Source organism: Homo sapiens, chromosome 4 (genome assembly GCF_000001405.40).
Source record: "Homo sapiens chromosome 4, GRCh38.p14 Primary Assembly".
Taxonomy (NCBI): domain Eukaryota; kingdom Metazoa; phylum Chordata; class Mammalia; order Primates; family Hominidae; genus Homo; species Homo sapiens.
In genome coordinates this window covers 46,805,083-46,825,159 of record NC_000004.12, presented here as the reverse complement: position 1 = coordinate 46,825,159, position 20,077 = coordinate 46,805,083, and the positions used below count along the sequence as shown (strand labels likewise).

At 35.8% G+C, this 20,077-nt stretch overlaps 1 protein-coding gene across 10 annotated transcripts in view; it reads left to right on the top strand.

Moving 5' to 3' along the window:
- Positions 1-20,077, top strand: part of COX7B2 (cytochrome c oxidase subunit 7B2) — a 174,419-nt gene that overhangs the window by 84,086 nt on the left and 70,256 nt on the right. The window contains exon 3 of one of the 10 annotated variants that reach the window (XM_047449721.1): positions 10,419-10,538. The exons of the other annotated variants lie outside the window; for them this stretch is intronic. The gene's annotated coding sequence lies outside the window, so the exon portion shown is untranslated. The remainder of the gene's footprint in view (positions 1-10,418; positions 10,539-20,077) is intronic. 10 annotated transcript variants of the gene reach the window in all.

Here is a 20,077-nt window from a genome sequence, read left to right as displayed (position 1 = left end):
TGGAGGAGCTTTTGGGCCAAGACTGGGGGGTTTTTAGATCTAGAATCATGTCATCTGCAGAGATAGTTTGACTTCCTTTCTTCATATTTGGATTCGTTTTATTTTTTTTCTCTTGCCTGATTACTCTTGTTAGGACTTCCAATATTGTGTTGAAGATGAGTGATGAGAGGGCATCACATCTTTGTCTTTTGCCTGTTTTCAAGGGGAATGCTTCCAGCGTTTGCCTATTCAATATAACGTTGGTTGTGGGTTTGTCATAGACGGCTTCTATTATTTTTAGGTATGTTCCTTCTATACCTAGGTTATTGAGAGTTTTTTAACATGAAGTTTTGTTCAATTTTATCAAAAGCCTTTTCTGTATCTATTGAGATAATCATGTGTTTTTTGTCTTTAGTTCTTTTTATGCAATGAATTACATTTATTGATTTGCATATGTTAAGCCAACCTTGCATTTGGTGATGAAGCCTACTTGATAATGGTGAATTTGCTTTTTTTTTTTTTTTTTACACAAACAGTAATACTCACATAATAAGCAGGCTCAGAAATACATCAGAAAGTTGAACTTCATTTTTGAGTAGGCTAACCAACAGTAAATGATTAAGTGTTTTTTTGTTTGTTTGTTTGTCTGTTTTTCTATCTCTTAACTGTAATCACATACGGCAGCATGACAGGTTAGTGAATAACGAAAAAGCTGATTGACTTTGGTACAAGTGAGGCTGATTCAACGGGCTCAATTTCATTCTCTCATGAGGGCCAGCGATGTATACCTCACTATCTTGCAAGGATTTCTTCCAAAAGATGTGTATGTTGCCAGATTTTGGTATGAAGATGATGCTTGCCTCATAGTATGAGTTGAGCAAGAGTCCCTCCTCCTCAGTTTTTTGGAATATTTCTGTAGGAATGGTATCAACTTTTCTTTGTACAGCTGTAGAATTTGACCGTGAATCCATCAGGTCCTGGGCTTTTTTTGGTAATGGTAGGCTATTTATTACTAATTCCATTTTGGAGCTCATTATTGGTCTGTTCAGGGATTCAGTTTCTTACTAGCTCCGTCTTGGGAGGTTAATTTCATTAATAGATATAAGGTTATTCAGGTATTTATTTTTCCTTCAGTGAATTTTGCTAGTTTGTGTATTTTTAAGGATGTGGTAAATTTCACTGAAGCTATTAAATTTGGGGGAATAGAGTTTTATAGTATTTTAAAATTGTCTTTTGGGTATTTGTGGTATCCAGAATGATGTCTTCTTTTTTTTTTCATTCCTGATATTAATAATTTGTGCTTTCTCTCTCTTTTTGATCAGTCTTGCTATAGGTTTGTCAATTTTATTAATTTTGAATTTAACTTTGTTTGCTTCTTTGATTTTTGTCTGTTGTTTTCTGCTTTAGTTTCATGATTTCCACTCTAATCTTTACATATTTTTTCCTTATTTTGGCTTTGTATTTAGTTTGCTACCATTTTTTTCAATTTTTGTAAGGTAATTTGTGTTGCTGACCTTACAACTTTATTTTTAATGTAAGCAATTAATGATATAAATTTCTTTCTAATACCACCTTAGCTGAATTCCACAATTTTTATATATTGTATTTTATATTAAAATTTTTCATTTTATAATTGATCCTTGAGAGTTCCTTTTCAATTGATAAGTTATTTAGAAGTGTGTTGTTTAATTTCCAAATATTTGGAGCTTTTTCAGATGTCTTTCTGTTATTGATTCATAGTTTAATTCCCTTATGGGCTAGAAATGTACTTTGTTCATTTCTATCATTTTAAATTTCTTAAAGTTTAGTATATGGTCAAGGAGATATACATACACACATTATATATGATATGTGTATGTGTGCACATACATAGAAATACATATACTAATATAATATATAATATATAAAATTCTACCTACAGATCAAGGCTTTTATTGTATAAGATAAATAGTGGTGATGTATCCGGATGGAATTTTGGAAATAGTGGCTATTTCCCACCCAGCAGAACCTTGGAGGCCACTGTTTCAGGATTTTCACTGATTTTCCTAGTTATCTTGTGGTGGGTTTCCTGGAACAAAAGGCTATAAAACAGAACACACCTATATCTGTAGGCCCTTGGGGGATTCACACTGTAACACTGGCACATTTCCATGTTAAGGAAATGCTGGTCCTGCTTCTCCATGCAGGCATCTCTTTCTCTCTGGATTTAGAGTAATTGTTTATATTGAGACCTCAGTTCTCCAATGGGCTTAAGAAAATTGTTAATTTGCTATTTGTATAGTTTTGTTTTTGTTTTTTGTTATCTAAAGATAAAACTGAAGTTCTTTCTAGCTATTTTTATTTCTGACCTATTATTTTTTATGTATTGGAATATTCAATTATCTAATAATTTATGTCTACATTCATGAACCCTTTTCTTATCTAGTTTTAGAATCTGGGATTTAATAGGCCCATGAAATACATTGGGTAATCATTTAAAAAGTTTATGTGAGATGGGTATCTGTTCTTTGAAATCTTGATAGAATTGTGAAAACATCTAGGCCATAAAGGCCATTTTAAAATAGAATTTAAGTTTATTTAATGGTTTTTTAATGTAGTTATTTTTTCTGTTTCTTTGCCAGTTTTTCTGTTTCTGTGTCAAGTTGGCATGGTGTTGTATTCCTTCCTGTGACAAAGGGTGGGCAAACATTCATCCAGGTCATGTGAGGAAGAAAAAAATCAACAAATAGATACTTCTCTCTTCCTCTGTGCCCCAGAGCCCTCTCCTCACCTGGATCCTCTCTATATTATTTTTTTTTTTATCTCCTCAAGTTTTTCTCCTAGTTTATTTTGTATTCTGGAGTCTTACGGCTATAATCTCTCACTTTTGAGGCTTACGCCATGTTAGTTTTGTGGAAGTGATTTAGTTCATGTTTGTGGTCCTCTCCTCAAGAAACAAAAACTCCCATATTTTCTATTGGAAACAATTGAGGCTGGGCTTGGTAGCTCACGTCTGTAATCCCAACACTTCAGGAGGGTGGGGCAGACGGATCACGAGGTCAGGAGATGGAGACTATCCTGGCCAACATGGTGAAACCTCGTGTCTACTAAAAAATACAAAAATTAGCCCAGTGTGGTGGCATGCGCCTATAGTCCCAGCTACTCAGGAGGCTGAGGCAGGAGAATCGCTTGAACCCAGGAAGTAGAGCTTGCAGTGAGCTGAGATTGCGCCACTGCACTCTAGCCTGGCGACAGAGTGAGACTCCGTCTCAAAACAAACAAACAAACAAACAAAACAAACAAAAAAAAATGAATAACCTCTGTACCTCTACTGTATTAAACACCTGGCAACAATTTTGGCAATGTGAGAGACATATGCCATGATTTTAGTTTCCTAGGCTTAGTTTATAATATAGGTAATCAGCAGAGACTCCATAACATTTCATTATAATCTTCAGTGTTCTATATTGATAATAAATATGTGTGACAATGATGATTATTTAACTTATACATTTGAATAACACTTCAGATTTTATACTGTTTACACTCTTTATTCTATTTTATTCTCCTTCCTACATGTGTAGTATAGGTATTAATAGCCACATTACTGAAGATTAGGGAACTTGTTGCACAGAAGAATTAAATGATCAGCTTAATATAAAAAAGTAAATGGTAGAGTTCTGTCACATTCTGTATCTAGTTCTTATATCACTGAACACACTGCTGCATAGGATTAAACATTCTTTGCTTATTGTGTTGTGTACTAATTTATGTCAGTTCAAGCATAGATTGTTAACACATAGAGTCAAATATATTTAAGGTTTATTTGGGATTTGCCGCAAACTTCAAAGAAGGTTGCTGCCAAATAGAGTCCATATTTTCTTCTGGAAAAGTAATTTCTCTCAGAAGAAATTATCTATGCTATCTAACAATATTTTCTTTGATGAGAGTGACTGAATTCTCTCTGGTGCGTCTTTCAAGTGTCTCTCATGGCTTTTACCTCATGATTCCTTATTGAATTTATTTGACACCTTGTTAAAAATAATTAATTGAAAATGCATATTTGAGACTGAATTCGGAGCAGAAGAGCTTTAACTAAAACAACCAGATACGAAACGCAGAAGTGGTTTTTAAAGAAGCAAGGGCAGCATAAGGCAGTGGATCTTACTTTAGCATGCATACAACTCATTTAAAAAAATTGTTAAAATTCAGATTCTCAGGTTTCGACTGTAGTAATTCTGACTGACTTTCTGTCATGGGCTATTAAATCTAAATTTTCAACTCTTACGTGAGATTGGATTACTTTTTGAGGTATACTGCCTGCCTACTGCTGTAATATCTATCTATCTATATATATATATATATATTTTTTTTTTTTTTGAGATGGAGTTTTGCTTTTTTTGTCCAGGCTCGAGTGCAATGGCATGATCTCAGCTCACTGCAACCTCTGCCTCCCAGGTTCCAGTGATTCTTCTGCCTCAGCTTCCTGAGTAGCTGAGGTTACAGGCATGTGCTACCATGCCCAGCTAATTTTGTATTTTTAGTAGAGACGGGGTTTGTTGGTCAGGCTGGTCTCGAACTCCTGACCTCAGGTGATCTGCCCACCTTGGCCTCCCAAAGCGCTGGGATTACAGGCGTTAGCCACTGTGCCCAGCCTCCTGTAATATCTTAACCAAAAGCAAGATATCAGATTAGATAGAGCTGGGATCCCCAACCCGCAGGCCATGGACCGGTACCAGCCCATGGCCTGTTAGGAACTAGGCTGCACTGCAGGAGGTGAGAGGCAGGCAAGTGAGTGAGGCTTCATCTATATTTACAGCTGCTTTCCATTGCTCACGTCATTGCCTGAGTTCCACCTCCCGTCAGATCAGCAGAGGCATTAGATTCTCATGGGACCGGAAACCCTGTTGTGAGCTGTGCATGCTGAATTGTGTGCTCCTTAGGAGAATCTAATGCCTGATAATAGGTCACTGTTTCCGATCTCCCCCAGATGGGACCATCTAGTTGAGGGAAAGAAGCTCAGGGCTTCCACTGATTCCATATTATGGTAAGTTGTATAATTATTTCATTATATATTACAGTGTAATAATAATAGAAAGAAAGTGCACAATAAATGTAACGTGCTTGAATCATCCTGAAACCATCCCGACTGGTCTGTGAAAAAATTGTTTTCCACGAAACCGGTTCCTGGTACCAAAAATGTTGGGGGTCATATGTCAGCTTTGAAGAAGAGATGCAATGCTTGGTGGAATGAAGACATCTGATTGAAATATCTGGCATATTGCCTTGCTTATCCTAATCCATATCTAAGTAGATCAGGATTCCCTGTCTAGTCCCAAGTAAGGATTAGGATGATCAAGGTAATTGTGACCATGCCACAATGACACTGAAAAAATTTTATTTATTTATTCAGTCACACATTCAAAAATAATTGTTGAGCACCCTAATATATAAAACAGCTGATACATTGTAATAAGTAGAATTATATACTGTTTTACTTTAACACAAATAATATACTGCTTTAACACAAGCTTGTCTAACCCTTGGCCTGTAGGCCACATGTGGCCCAAGACAGCTTTGAATGTGGCCCACCACAAATTCATAAACTTTCTTAAAACATAATGAGAGTTATTTGTCTGAATTTTTTTTTTTTTTTTTTTTTAGCTCATCAGCTATCGTTAGTTTTAGTGTATTTTATGTGTGGCCCAAGACAATTCTTCTTCTTGCAGTGTGGCCTGGAGAAGCCAAAAGATTGGACACCCCTGATTTAACTTTTAACCATGGTTTGTAATTGTTGTCTCTTTTAGTGACTTTCCTACCTCTGAACTGAAAGCTTCCTAAGAGTGGCATGTTAGTTTGCCGCTCTGCCTCCAGCCCTTAGCATGAGGAGTCGATATACCTCTGTAGAGGGAATGAATGAGGTGTGACCTTGAGGTGGTTCCGCTAAAGGGTTTTTGATAAATGAGAGTGGGTTGGGAAGTCCTCCAGATCAAATTTACCCTCATTTTATAGATTTTTTTGCATGAGAAGTGGTCATTTAATAATCTCTATTATGCAAGAAAATCTATCACCTATCAGCCAAGAGAAGGCTACATGGTTTTTTAAAAAGGCTTTGTTTTAAAAACGGCAAAATTCGAGGTGATTGTGAACATACCAAAGTGAAACTGAAAACATTTTATTCATTTATTCAATCATGCATTTAAAAATAGTTATCGAGCACCCTACTGTATAAAGCACCTGATACACTGTAATAAGTAGAAAGAATTTTTTATGCTTAAAACTTACAGTGTTGGGGGGAAAACAGCCAAATAAGTAATTCATGCAACACTGGCATATCTAAAGTCGTTAGCACAGAACAGAGGCCCTGTGTTTGTGGAACAGTTAAGACTAATATGCCATCTGTGGTTCATTTTATAGAGATGATTGATTACTCATGTGTGTGCCATGCCAAAGGGCACTGACCATAATAATGACAAAATTTTTGTGTACTTACTTGTTTTTCCATTACAATGAAAGATGCTTGAGATCTAGTAGTCTGTTTTCTTTCTTTCTTTTTTTTTTTTTTGAGACAGAGTCTCGCTCAGTCGCCCAGGCTGGAGTGCAGTGGCTTGATCTTCACTCACTGCAAACTCCGCCTCCTGGGTTCACGCCATTCTCCTGCCTCAGCCTACTGAGTAGCTGGGACTACAGGCGCTCGCCACCACACCCAGCTAATTTTTTTGTATTTTTTTTAGTAGAGACGGGGTTTCACTGTGTTAGCCAGGATGGTCGCGATCTCCTGACCTCATGATCCACCCGCCTCGGCCTCCCAAAGTGCTGGGTTTACAGGCGTGAGCCACGGCGCCCGGCTTCCAGTAGTCTGTTTTCTATGTTCATGTATTCTTTATCAAGTTCACTGCAATTCTCTGAACAATGGACCTTCAGTAAAAGACACTGACAAACTGACCCTTCCCACCTTCTGCTGGATGTGCAAAAGATTAGTAAGACAGGAGATTCAATAAAGGTCACTGACTGCATAGAGGGGCATTGATTAATTGAGAATTGACATATTATCTTTTCCTTTACCTATTCTAATTTTTCCAACCATCCTGTGTGTTTTCAAATAGTCCATCCAAGTGTGGATGCCAGTGTACTTACCTTTTGTAATGAGCATAATAAGACTCACTGGAAGCCTCTGCATAGTATTTTGGGAAGAAATCTCTATTTTGCAATTTTGATGTTTCTGAAATTTAAATTTCTAATCAGTTCCTTTTCTGTGTTCTGCTGAGAAATGCGTAGGTTCAAAGATTTATTCAAACATCTCATATACAAAGTAAGTTCTGAAGCTGAGGGAAAAACATGCTTGAAGGGGGTCTCAGTAGGGTGACCCTCCAGCTCTTCTCAGTAACAAAACTGTAATCTACTGAGATGCTTAGGGAACCTGCCCTTCTTTCAGCTGTCCCGGTTTTATCCTCACCTCCTGGCTTTCTTTAAATTTCATTGAGTCTGACTCTGCAACTAGACTATTAGCCTCTTCAGGCTATATTCACTTTATCATGTTTCCTTAAGAGGGAAGAGTATTTGAGAAAGTTTGATTTACTTTGTGACCTAGGATTATGACTTGATTATGTAATTATTCAGAATGTTTAGAGCCTAAAGTTAGATAACAAATTAAAGTTGCCCAATTAAAGGGTGTCAGAAAAGTTAGAGAAAAGAGTACAGTAAAAATGTGAATATTCAGCTTATATTTGAGTTTATTCAGCATGTTATAATGGAGAGCCTATAGACCTGGGGGACTGAGAGACTGAAATGTGTACCCCGGCTTTTCTATTGACCTTGTAGCTACATTTATATCCTGAAAACCTCAATGTCTTCATCAATAGAAAGGGGATATTGAATCTACCTATATCCCAAATTGTTATTATAATGGAAAAAATAATTTATGCAAATAACTTAGCAGAGGGCCTGACTCTTGGCAAACATTAAATAACTTTTACTTTCCTTCTAATTCTTCCTATTGTCCATGCATACACAGTTCAACCAAGATAAACTCTAGCAAAGAACAGTAACTGGTTGTCAGTTAACCATTTAGCTTGAATAACAGAGGCTTAAAATTAACTTGCTTCCCCTCAGTTATGACTCTATCCTCTTTTTTCTTGTATGTCTTTTTAAAAAATATTTCCCACTCTGTAGCATGAGCAGCTGCTGAAAGCACTGAGCTAAGATAGAATCACTCTTTCTCTTCATACACTAAATCTAAAAGACAAAGTGAAGCAAAATACTGAATCTAACTTCCCACTTAAAAAAATTCTCTGAGGCTTACCCTCACAAACAAGCTACAAGGACTTCAAAGTAGGACTCAATCAGTAAGCGGTGATACCTCAGCAATTACTTATTACATGAATGTCTGTAACACAGATTTATTTCTAGTCTACATACAACCTCAGCTATAGTGAAAACCTATCAATGAGAAGTTATATTCTGCTTCAAGTGAATCCCTCATAGACTATAATTCCTTTATTATTTGCAGCAGATTGTTTTTCTGCCTGTGGAAAAGCATCCTAATGCAAAAAAAATGACATTAAATAATATTTTCAGCATTCATTTGAGGTCCTATGATGTACAAGATGCTTTGCTCATAACTGCAGGGGATAACAAGTTTCAGACAAATTATAATTTTATGATGATTACATCATAATAGATATAATAACTATAAATAACTATAATACAGAATAGACCTTTTTAAAGAGTTATGAGTAAAGTACCATGAGAATTTAAAGAAGAACTTCAGTTCAGGTTTAAGGATGGTTGGAATTTCAAATGTGGTCGCATTTTAGTGGCCATTAGAGATAGAAGATAGAGAAAGAATTAAGAGGGGTCATTCAAGGCCGAGAGAACAGCCCAATAACATAACTAGAGGCCAGAAAGGACAAAGCATATGTTAACGATGGCAAAGAAATTCAGTATTCATGAGGTTTAAAGGAAGAATATGAGTTAAGATTTGACCATATCAAGGTCATTGAATACCAAACAACAATTTGTTTCATTCACAAATATTCAGAAACACAATAATTTTACAGGCTGTAATAGTTGTAGGGTATAATGTCAGTCTTGTACTCAGTATATATTTATATGTATACTTTATCACCCAGAGGACTGACCGAGAGTGGCCACCATTGGTGAGGATATAAGGAGGGCCTACATATCCATAATAGTCACGGGTCTCGTTTCCTGCCTGAGAGTGAGAGAGAAGAGGAGTGTTTGTGGTCCTCTTGTGGTTTGATAAATCTTATAAGCATTGGTATTTTTTCAAAACAGAAAGGTAAATATAAATATTATTACCAGGGAAACAAAGTGTTATCTGCTAAGACAATTAATCTGTATTAGAGACATTTTAGAGGTTAAAGCTTATTTTCACAGAACACTGCAACATTTCTCTGAAGCCCTGATATCATAAGAATCCTTTGTTCAAATAACACTTCCAGGGACAGTTTTAATAATAGAAAATAAAAGGATTACATATTCCCCTCATCTTGGACGAGAAATAAGAGTGATACTCTTTTTTTTTTAAGTTCTTAATTCACCATTTGTGCAAAATTGAATCTGCATTTCTGCAGCTGTAGGAGAATACAGATTATTTTTAATTTGTTGAAACTTCTTTTATTTACAGTTAACCTGTAATTTCCAAGGTTAAAGTCTGGAATTTTGTTGATTAGTACTGAGGAGAGGCAAGGAAGATTCAAGATGCACAAAACATACAATATAAAAAGAAAAAGGTTTTATTAGAATTAACAAGTAGGATAGATAATTATTACACTGCAGGCCATAATAATAAATGTGACTGTCATGAGTTCTGAGTAGAATCAACTCTGTGTCAATTTATTGAACCTATAGTTTTGTTCATACTTATTTCACAAAATTAATAGATACCACAAAATGTAAGAGAAGAGTCTAACTTTAAACCCCAGTTGGAGATGATTATTACTTGCTGTCTGAGTACTTTCATGCTTCTCAAGTGACATTTTCTTTTTCTTTTTTTTTTTTTTTGAGACAGAGTCTCGATCTGTCGCCTAGGCTGGTGCAATCTCGGCTCACTGCAACCTCCACCTCCCGGGCTCAAGCAATTCTCCTGTCTCAGCTTCCTGAGTAGCTGGGACTACAGGCATGCACCACCACGCCTGGCTAATTTTTGTATCTTCAGTAGAGACGGGGTTTCGCCGTGTTGGCCTGGCCGGTCTCAAACTCCTGGCCTGAAGTGATTCGCCCACTTCGGCCACCCAAAGTGCTGGGATTACAGGCATGAGCCAACGTGCCTGGCCCTCAAGTGACATTTTCTTAAACCACATCTAATTTATTGGAATATACTAAGGATATAGAAGAATGATAGAATTGTTATAATTTTTTAATCAACAGATACAATTCCCTATATTAAAAATGACTACTGTAAATGATCATAAATAATGCTGAAATATCTTCAACAGGAGCAGTCAACTCATCAGTGATACATTGACGTAAAAAGTGATCAATCCTGCAGTATAATTAATTAAAATCATTCATTGCCAAGGAGCTTATCATCACTTACTGTCGTTCATTAGTATGAGGTATATAACTCTTACTTTACATATATGTTTTTAAAGGAAACTTTTCTAAGCTGGCTTTATTAAAAAGTAACTATAGACTTAGTTTATATCCTAAATAACTAAGTAAACTTTTCTTTTGGCTATAAATGTTGTATAGTTTGCACTCAGGTTGACTATACAGTTAGTAATTTTTGTGGGAAAATGAACACATCTAAAAAGGATCCACTTAAAGAGACACATTATGGATCACTTTTTCCTGGTTTGCACAGGACTGGGGATTAAAGATTCACACTGGAAAGCCGAATTTTGTATCACCTTGCAGAAAGCACTTCTCCAGTGAATAAGGAAACAAAATGGAAGTCTATTTCTGAAATCTGAAACTGCTGCAAGTTTGGTGTTCAATGACAAACCAAGATTAGGCAAATAAGTCTTTAAAAACCGTCCCTTTAATATACCGATTTCCTTTCCTTTGGATAAATACCCAGTAATATGATTGCTGAATCACCTGGTTTTCTATTTTTAGGTTTTGAAGAACCTCCATGCTATTTTCCATAATGGTTACCAACAGTGTATAAGAGTTCCCTTTTCTCCACATCCCCACCAGCATTTGCTACTTTTGTCTTTTTGATAATTGCCTTTTTAATGGGGATGAGATAATATCTCATTACAGTTTTGATTTTCATTTCTCTGAGGATTAGCGATATTGAACTTTTTTTCATATATTTCTTGGCCACTTGTATGTCTCCTTTTGAGAAATGTCTATTCAGAATTTTAAAATCAGATTATTAGTTTTTTTTCTGTTAAGTTGTTTGTGTTTCTTTTATATTCTGGGTATTAACTGCTGGTCAGATGAATAGTTTTCATGTCTTTTCTTCAGCCTTACAAGTTGTCTCTTTACTCTGTTGATTGTTTCTTTTTTATTTTTATTTTAAGTTCTGGGATACACATGCAGAATGTGCAGATTTGTTACATAGGTATACATGTGCCATGGTGGTTTGCTGCACCTATCAACCCGTTATCTAGGTTTTAAGCCCAGCATGAATTAGGTATTTGTCCTAATACTCTCCCTTTCCTTGCCCTCCACCCCACGACAGGCCCCAGTGTGCGATGTTCCCCTCCCTGTGTCCATGTGTTTTCATCGTTCAGCTCCCACTTACGAGTTTCTTTTGCTGTGCAGAAACTTTTTCATTTGATATAATCTGAGTGATCTATGTTTGCTTTCATTATCTGTGCTTTTGAAGTGTTCCATATAACATCTTTGTCCAGTCCAATGTCCTGAAGTGTTTCAAGGAAAAGAAATTCATATATTGAAGAGATAATTTGCACTCCCATGTTTACTGCAGCAGTATTTACAATAGCCAAGATATGGAATCTTCTGAATGCCCATGAACAGATGAATGGATAAAGAAAATTTGGTAAATAGATGTACATACACAATTGAATATTATTTAATCATATAAAGGAATGAAATCTTGTCTTATGGCCTACTCCCTAGAGTCAAGCTACCACAAAGCTATTCTTTTATCCCCATCCCAGTTGGTGGTGCATTCTTCCCTCAGGGTCAAGCTGAAGTGGTGCCCTGCCCTGAGGGACCTGGAGCCTTTTAACTGTGGGGACAGTCATGATCTGGTGCCACAGCTGAGGCATCAACCCATTTCCCAGGGACCTCAAGCCACTGGCATACTGGAGCAGTAACCCCCTGCCCTGTGCAATAGGTGAGGCAGCAGCCTGCACCCTGGAAATATGAGCCCCTGGCCCAATGAAGCAGCTGTACCTCTAAGCATCATAGTTGATGCCACACCCTGAACCCAGTGATCCAGAGGCTCTGCTGACCCATGTAGCTGCACTTTCTGGGGCTAAACAGACACAGTGCCTTTAGTCCCAGGGAATCAGAGCATTGGCTGAGCTGTGGTTATGCACCTTCAGGTCGAAAAGCCCACAGTGTCCTCCCTACCTGGAACTGGACTAGACTCCTACAGTCTGAGCTGCCAAGACATCCCCCCTCTTCTGGAAGTGAAAGCATCACTGTACTGCTCCCTGTCCCCTGGGGCCTAAATCATATCAGGAACTTACATCCTTGCTGCTATACCTGGCCTTATAAAGTCTGGGATACTCCTATGTCCTATCATTTCCAGTTCCAGAGTCACCACCTCATGGTACCTTATTCCCTGGAGCCCACCTGCCAGTGTGCCCTGTTTGTTCTGGGTCCTGAATTGCAGCTGTGCCCAAGTTTCTGGGGCCTGAGCCTCTGTAGGACTTCTTTTTTTTTTTTAATTTTTATTCAGATCCATGCTGGTGCCTCCCAGGGTCAGAACCATAGCTACATCCAAGCTCCTGGGACAAAGCTACTGGGATGTGCCTCAGAGAGATAGGCCTCAGCTTAGTGGGAGAATTGCATTCTCTTGTGCTTTGGAGAGTGAGCCTATGGCCTCAAGTTCTGGGAACTACGGTATTTTGACAAAACCCTTAGCCCAGGAACCCAGTTCCACAGCTGTTCCAAGCATATGTGTCCTATATTCCAGTGCTACTGTATTATATACTGTATTATATTATAGTGCTGCACTATATTTCAGTGCTGCTTGAAAGCCATATCAGACCCAATTTCAAGAAAAATCCCCAGCTAAGACTCCCCACTGTGAGAAAAACAAGAATAAGAGGATCCCTAAAGCCTTTGCCCTAATAACCTATGCAGCCACCATTACTGAAACAAATTCCTACAGTCTAGGCCATGTAAGCACCTCCAGTCATCACTAACATTGATCACAGTGGAAGAAGCTGAATGTAGATTACACCTCTGGGTCCACATGGAGAGTTGCTTGCACCGTGTTCAACCTGTATGTGAAAGTCTCCCCCTATGAAAGCTGCTCTGTAAAGTTTAGAAGAAGTGACTGCACTGTCTGATGCACAGACATCAATTCAGAGACACAAGAAACATGAAAAGGCAAGGAAATATGACTCCACCAAAGGAACACAATAATTCTCCAGTAACTGACCCCACAGAAACAACAATTTACAAATTGCCTAAAAAGGAAATCAAAATAATGATCTTAAGGAAATTTAGTGAGATACAAGATAATAGAAATAAATGATTCAGTGTAATTAGGAAAACAATGATCCAAATGAGAAATTCAAATAGGAGCTGTATTAAAGAACCAGACAGAATTCTTGGAGCTAAATAATTCAATCAATGAAATAAAAAAAATATATATGGTTGAGGTTTAACAGCAGACAAGATCAAAAAGAAAGAATTTTTGAACTGCAGTATAGGTCTTTTGACATGACTCAAAGGAAAATTAAAATAGTTAAAAAAAAAAAGCCTATAGGCCTGATGGCACACCATTAAGTGAATAAATATTTGATTATTGGAGTCCCCAAAAACATAAGAGAAAGACAAAGGAACAGAAAGTCTATTTAATGAAATAATTGCTGAAAATATTCCAGGTCTGGGAAGAGATATGGACATCCAGATCCATGAAGCTCAGAGATTTCCAAATATATTCAACCCAAAGAGATTCCTTCTGAGGCACATTAAAACCAAACTGTTGAAAGTCAAAGATAAAGAGAGAATTTTAAAAGCAGTAAGAGAAAAACCATCAAGCCACATATAGGAGAATCTCTATTAGACTATCAGCAGATTTCTAAGGACAAATCTTGCAGTTTAGGAGAGAATGGAATTATATTGTCAAAGTGCTGAAAGGAAAAAAATAAATCTATCAGCCAAGAGTAGTATACCTAGCAAAGCTGTCTTTCAGAAATAAAGGAGAAATACTTCTTTGACAGACAAGCATAAGCCAAGAGAATTTATTACAACTGGAGCTGCCTTACTAGAAATGCTTAAGGAAGTTCTTCAAGTAGAAACCAAAGGATGATCATTACTATCATTAATACATATGAAAATATAAAACTCACTGCTAGAGGCAAATACATAGTCAAATCCTGAGTGTTCCAATACTTTAATGGTGTTGTGTAAGTCATACATATCTCTAGTATGAAGGTTAAAAGTCAAAATCATCAAAAATAACTAAAGCTGTAATAAATGTTACAAAGTACACAATAGAAAAAGATGTAAATTGTGACATCAAAAATTTAAATGGGATTAAAGTCTCGAGTTTTTGTATATAACAGAAATTATTAGCTTAAAATAGTAGACTATAAGATACTTTTGTCAGCCTCATGGTGACCACATACACAAAAAACCTACATCAGCTACACTAATGATAAAGATAAAAGAAACAAAAGTTAGCACTACAGAAAATTATCAAATTATAAAGGTAGATGACAAGAGAGAAATAAAGGAACAAAGAAACTACAAAAGAAGCAGAGAACAAATAGCAAAATGGCAGTAGCAAGTCCCTATGTATCAGTAACAACCTTGAATGTAAATTGATCACATTCAACCAATCTGTGTAATTTGATTGGATAATTTGATCCATTTACATTCAACACAGAGTGGCTGAATGGATAAAAATCAATATCCAACTATATGCTGCCTGAAAGAGACCCACTCAAGCTTTAAGGATATACAGAGGCTGAAAGTGAAGGGATGGAAGAAGATATTAGATGCAAATTGTAATCAAAGAAAGCAGCAGTGGCTATACTTATCTGATAGAATAGACTTGAAGTCAAAAAGTAACATGGGACAAAGAAGATTGTGACTGAATGTCATGAATAAGTTTATCAAGGTGACCTAATCATTGAAAATATATATTTACACAACATTGGACCACCTAAATATGTAAACTATTAATGAACATAAAGAGAAATAGATAGTAGTACAATAATAGGATGAGGCTTCAGTACCCCACTTTCAACAATGGATATATTAACCAGAGAATTAATTAGTAAATGCTGGACTTAAATTGCACTTTTGACCAAATGGACTTAGCAGACATATACAGAACTTTCCATCCAGCAGCAGCAGAAAAATAGACATTTTTTCCAGAATACATGAAACAATGTTAGGTGATAAAACATTTCTTTAAAAATGTATGAATATTTAAGTCCTATTGAGTATCATTTCTGACACTAATTGTATGAAACTAGTATTTAGATAAATCATGAAAAATTCATAAATTTGTGGAAATTAAATGACATGTTCCTGAACAACCAATGGATTGAAGAAGAAATCAAAAGATAAATTTAAAAAAATATCTTGAGACAAACAACAATGGGAACACAACATACCAAAACTTATGGAAGACAGCAAAAGCAGTTTTAGAGGAAAGTTTATAGAAATAAACGCCTACATTAAAAAGAAGAAATATCTCAGAAAAATAGTCTAACATTAAGCCTCAAGGAACTAGAAAAAGAACAAACTAGAAGAAGGAAATCAATAATAAACATCAGAATAGAAATAAATCACATAAAGAATAGAAAGCCATATGAAGAGTAAATAAAACTAAGAGCTTTTCTGAAGAAAAAAGAGTTGTCTAATCATAAAAAAGACTTAAATGAATGAAACCAAAGATGAATGAGAACAAATTACTGCAGACACTTTACAAATAAAAAGGATATCAAGGAACTATTACGAACAATTAAATGCCAAAAAATTGGATAATCTAGGTGAAATGAAAAAATTCCTAGAAAAATACAACCTACCAAGATTGTAGGTATCACCTTGATACCTAAGTCAGACAAAGACATGACAAGAAGAGAAAACTACAGACCAATTTCTCTGATGAACAGTGATGCAAAAATCCTTAGTAAAATATTAGCAAATCAAATCCAGCAACACATCAAAAAGATCGTGACAGAATGAGATTTATCCCTGGCATGCAAGGCTGGTTGAACATATGCAAATCAATCAATGTGATACATCACATTAACAGAATAAAAGATATAAACCACGTGATCATCTCAATTGATGCAGAAAAAGCACTGGTGTACTCCAACGTCCTTTCTTGATAAATATGCTCAACAGTTTAGGTATAGAAAGAAAGTTCCTCAACATAAGGGTGTTTTATAAAAAACCCACAGCTAATATTATAATCAATGGGGAGAAACTGAAAGTTTTTCCATTGAGATTTGGTACAAGGCAAGTGATGTCCACTGTCACTACATCTATTAAATATAGTACTGAAAGTACTAGCAAGAACAATCAGACAACAAAACAATAAGAAACAAAGGACATGAAAAGTCATCTAAGTTAAAAGGAAGAAGTAAAATTATCTCTATTTGCCCATGATATAATTCTATATGTAAAAAAACCAGAATTCCACAAAAAAACTCATAGAACTAATAAATGAATATGGCAAAGTTGAAGGATACAATATTGACATACAAAAATCAGCAGCATTTATATACACAACTGAAAACCCAGCCTAACTAAAAAAGACCCTAAGAAAACAATTCCATTTACAATAGCATCAAGAAAAAAATATACAAGAACAAATTTAACTGGGGAGGTGAAAGATCACTACACTGAAAATTATAAAACATTTAATGAAAGAGATTGAAAAGACACAAATAAATAGAAATGTACCTTGTTATCATGGATAAGAAGAGTTAATATTGTTGAAATATTCATAGTACAGAAAGTCATATGCAAATTTAACACAATCCATATCAAAATTCCAATAATGTTCTTCACAAAAAATAGAAACAACAACTTTAAAACCAATATGAAACTTAAAAAATCCTGAATTGCCAAAGCAATTCTGAGAAAGAAAAACAAAGTTGGTAGCATCATATTTCCTGATTTAAAATTATATTACAAATCTATAACAATCAAAACAGCATGGTACTGGCATGAAAACAGATACATGGACCAGTGGAACAGAATAGAGACCCCAGAAATAAACCTAAATATATACTATCAACTAATTTTAGACAAGGACATGAAGACAACATAATGGAGATAGGATACTTCCTTTAAAAGATGGTGCTGGGAAAACTAGATTTCCATATGCAATAGATTTCCATATGCAAAAGAATGAAGTAGGCCCTTATACCATACACAAAAAGTCAACCCAAAATGGATAAAAGCAGCTTAAATATAAGACCAAAACCATAAAGCTCCTGGAAGAGTATGTAGGGGAACTACTTCTGGACATTGACCTTTGTAATGATTGTTTTGGACAGCACCAAAAGCTCAGGCCACAAAAAACAAAAATAAAATAAATGAGACTACATCAAACTAAAAAAACTCCTGTATAGCAAAGAAAATAGCAAAGCAAAATGACAGCCTATGGATTGGAAAAAGATACTTGCAAACTATATATCTGATAAGCGTTTAATGTTTAAAATTTAGATAAAACTGATATCACTCAGTAGTGGAATAACTAATAACCCAATTAAATCATGGTCAGAAGACATGAATAGACACTTCTCCAAAGAAGACATAAATGGCCAACAGGTATGAAAAGTGCTCAACATAATTAACCATTAGGAAAATGAAAATTGACACCACTATGAGATACCATCTCACACCTGTTAGGATGGCTATTATAAAAAAAACAAAAGATAACAAATATTGACAAGGGTGTGGAGAAGAGGGATCTCTTGTACACTGTGGGACTGTCGATTAGTATGGCCATTATAAAAAAAAAGTATGAGGTTTCTAAAAAAATTTAAAATAGAAGTACAGTATCATCAAGTAATTCCTCTTCTGGCCGTATATACAAAGGGAATGAAATCACCACCTCAAAAAGACATCTGCACTCCCATGTTCACTCCAGCATTATTTACAGCAGCCAAGATATGGAAATAATCTAGAGTGTCCATAGCTGGATGAATGGATAAATAAATAGTAGTGTGTAAATACAATGGGATATTATTTAGCCCTAAAAAGCAAGATCTTGCCCTTTGTTATAACATGGATTAGCCTGGAGACATTATGCCAAGTGAATTAAGTGAGACATAGAAAGACAAATATTGCATGATCTAACTTACATGTGAACTCAATTCACAGAGATAAAAAAACAGAGTAGTGGTTATCAGAGGTGGAAGCAAATGTGGGAACTGGGAGATGTAAGTTAGGGGATACAAAGTGGTAGATATGTATGATGAATAAGTAGATATCTAATGTGCAGCATAATGACTATAGGCAGTAAAATTGTATTGTATACAGGATTCATGCTAAATGTGTAGCTGTTCTTGCCTCAAAAACAAAATAATTGAGTAACTATATGAAATGGTGGATATGTTAATTTGCTTCACTATAGTAACCTTTTTAGCCTCATAATATCATATTATATCCCTTAAATATACAAAGCAAAATCTATTTAAAATAAAAATAAAACAAAAAACTTATGAATATTACATGAAGACATGGAAAAGTTTTTTTTTTACTTTATTTTTTATTTTTTCATCATATGGAAGGTCTGTCATTAGTATTGTTTTTTCTGCTTTAAGTTATGCCTATTGTCATTTTACTTTGTTGGTTATATAATATGAAATATTAAAATAAGATACAAAAATACATACACCTGTTACCATCAACATTAATAAAAGGAAGAAGATTGCAGGGGCATATTTAGGGCCAGTACATTAAAAGGAAATGTGAATCCATGCAACATACAATAACAGCAAAGAGAAGATGAATATGCAATAACAAAAGACTGAATTTTAAACATGCATTTCATATGAGGCAATTACAAGGACACAAATAATGCCTCTGAGACTGTATATGTCCTTATTAATTAAGCTTACATTCTGTGCCAAGAATTAGGAAGATAAAGGAAGAAGAAAAAATCCTGGATCCCAGGTGATTTTAAGGATAATTTCTAAGGACATTCAAGATATTTTCTAGTAAAGGGTTTGTTATCTTCCCCATGTCTTTAAATATATAGAGGTTACATAGAGATGTCTATGGATGTTCCTTTTATTTTGTTTTATATATATTTAAAGCAACATCTAATAGAAGCAGGAGGGAGTAACAGTATATCAAAAATTACATTGATCTACGAAAATCCATAAACTGGATGAAAATAAAAAGGGGCATTGTGTGAAGATGAATGAAGAACCAAACAGGGCAAAAAGGAGAGGGAAATACAAATTACATCATTAAAACATTTGATTTAAATTTTTTTAAAAACCTGAATTCAACCCATATTTACTATTTGTTATCCATATAAATTTGCATTTCAGTAGTCTTATCTTTAGCATTACCATCTGTGAAAAGGGAATGAGAATTATTGATGTATTTACCTTGCAGGATTGTAACACAGATAAAACAAGATAATGGATGTAAGAGAACTCTCCCATCTATAACATAGTCTCACACACACATAAGTAGTTTTGTGGTATATTACTTACTTAACATGTAGCATATTTTACATAATGTGATATTGAGAGGTGACAGCGTGCTGGCAGCCCTCACAGCCCTGGCTGGCTCTCGGCACCTCCTCGGCCTTGATGCCCACTCTGGCCCCACTTGAGGAGTCCTTCAGCCTGCAGCTGCACTGTAGGAGCCCCTTTCTGGGCTGGCCAAGGCCAGAGCCGGCTCCCTCAGCCTGCGAGGAGGTGTGGAGGGAGAGGCATGGGTGGGAACTGGGGCTGCCCGGTGCTTGGAGGCCAGCGCGAGTTCTGGGTGGGTGTGGGCTTGGCGGGTCCTGCACTCG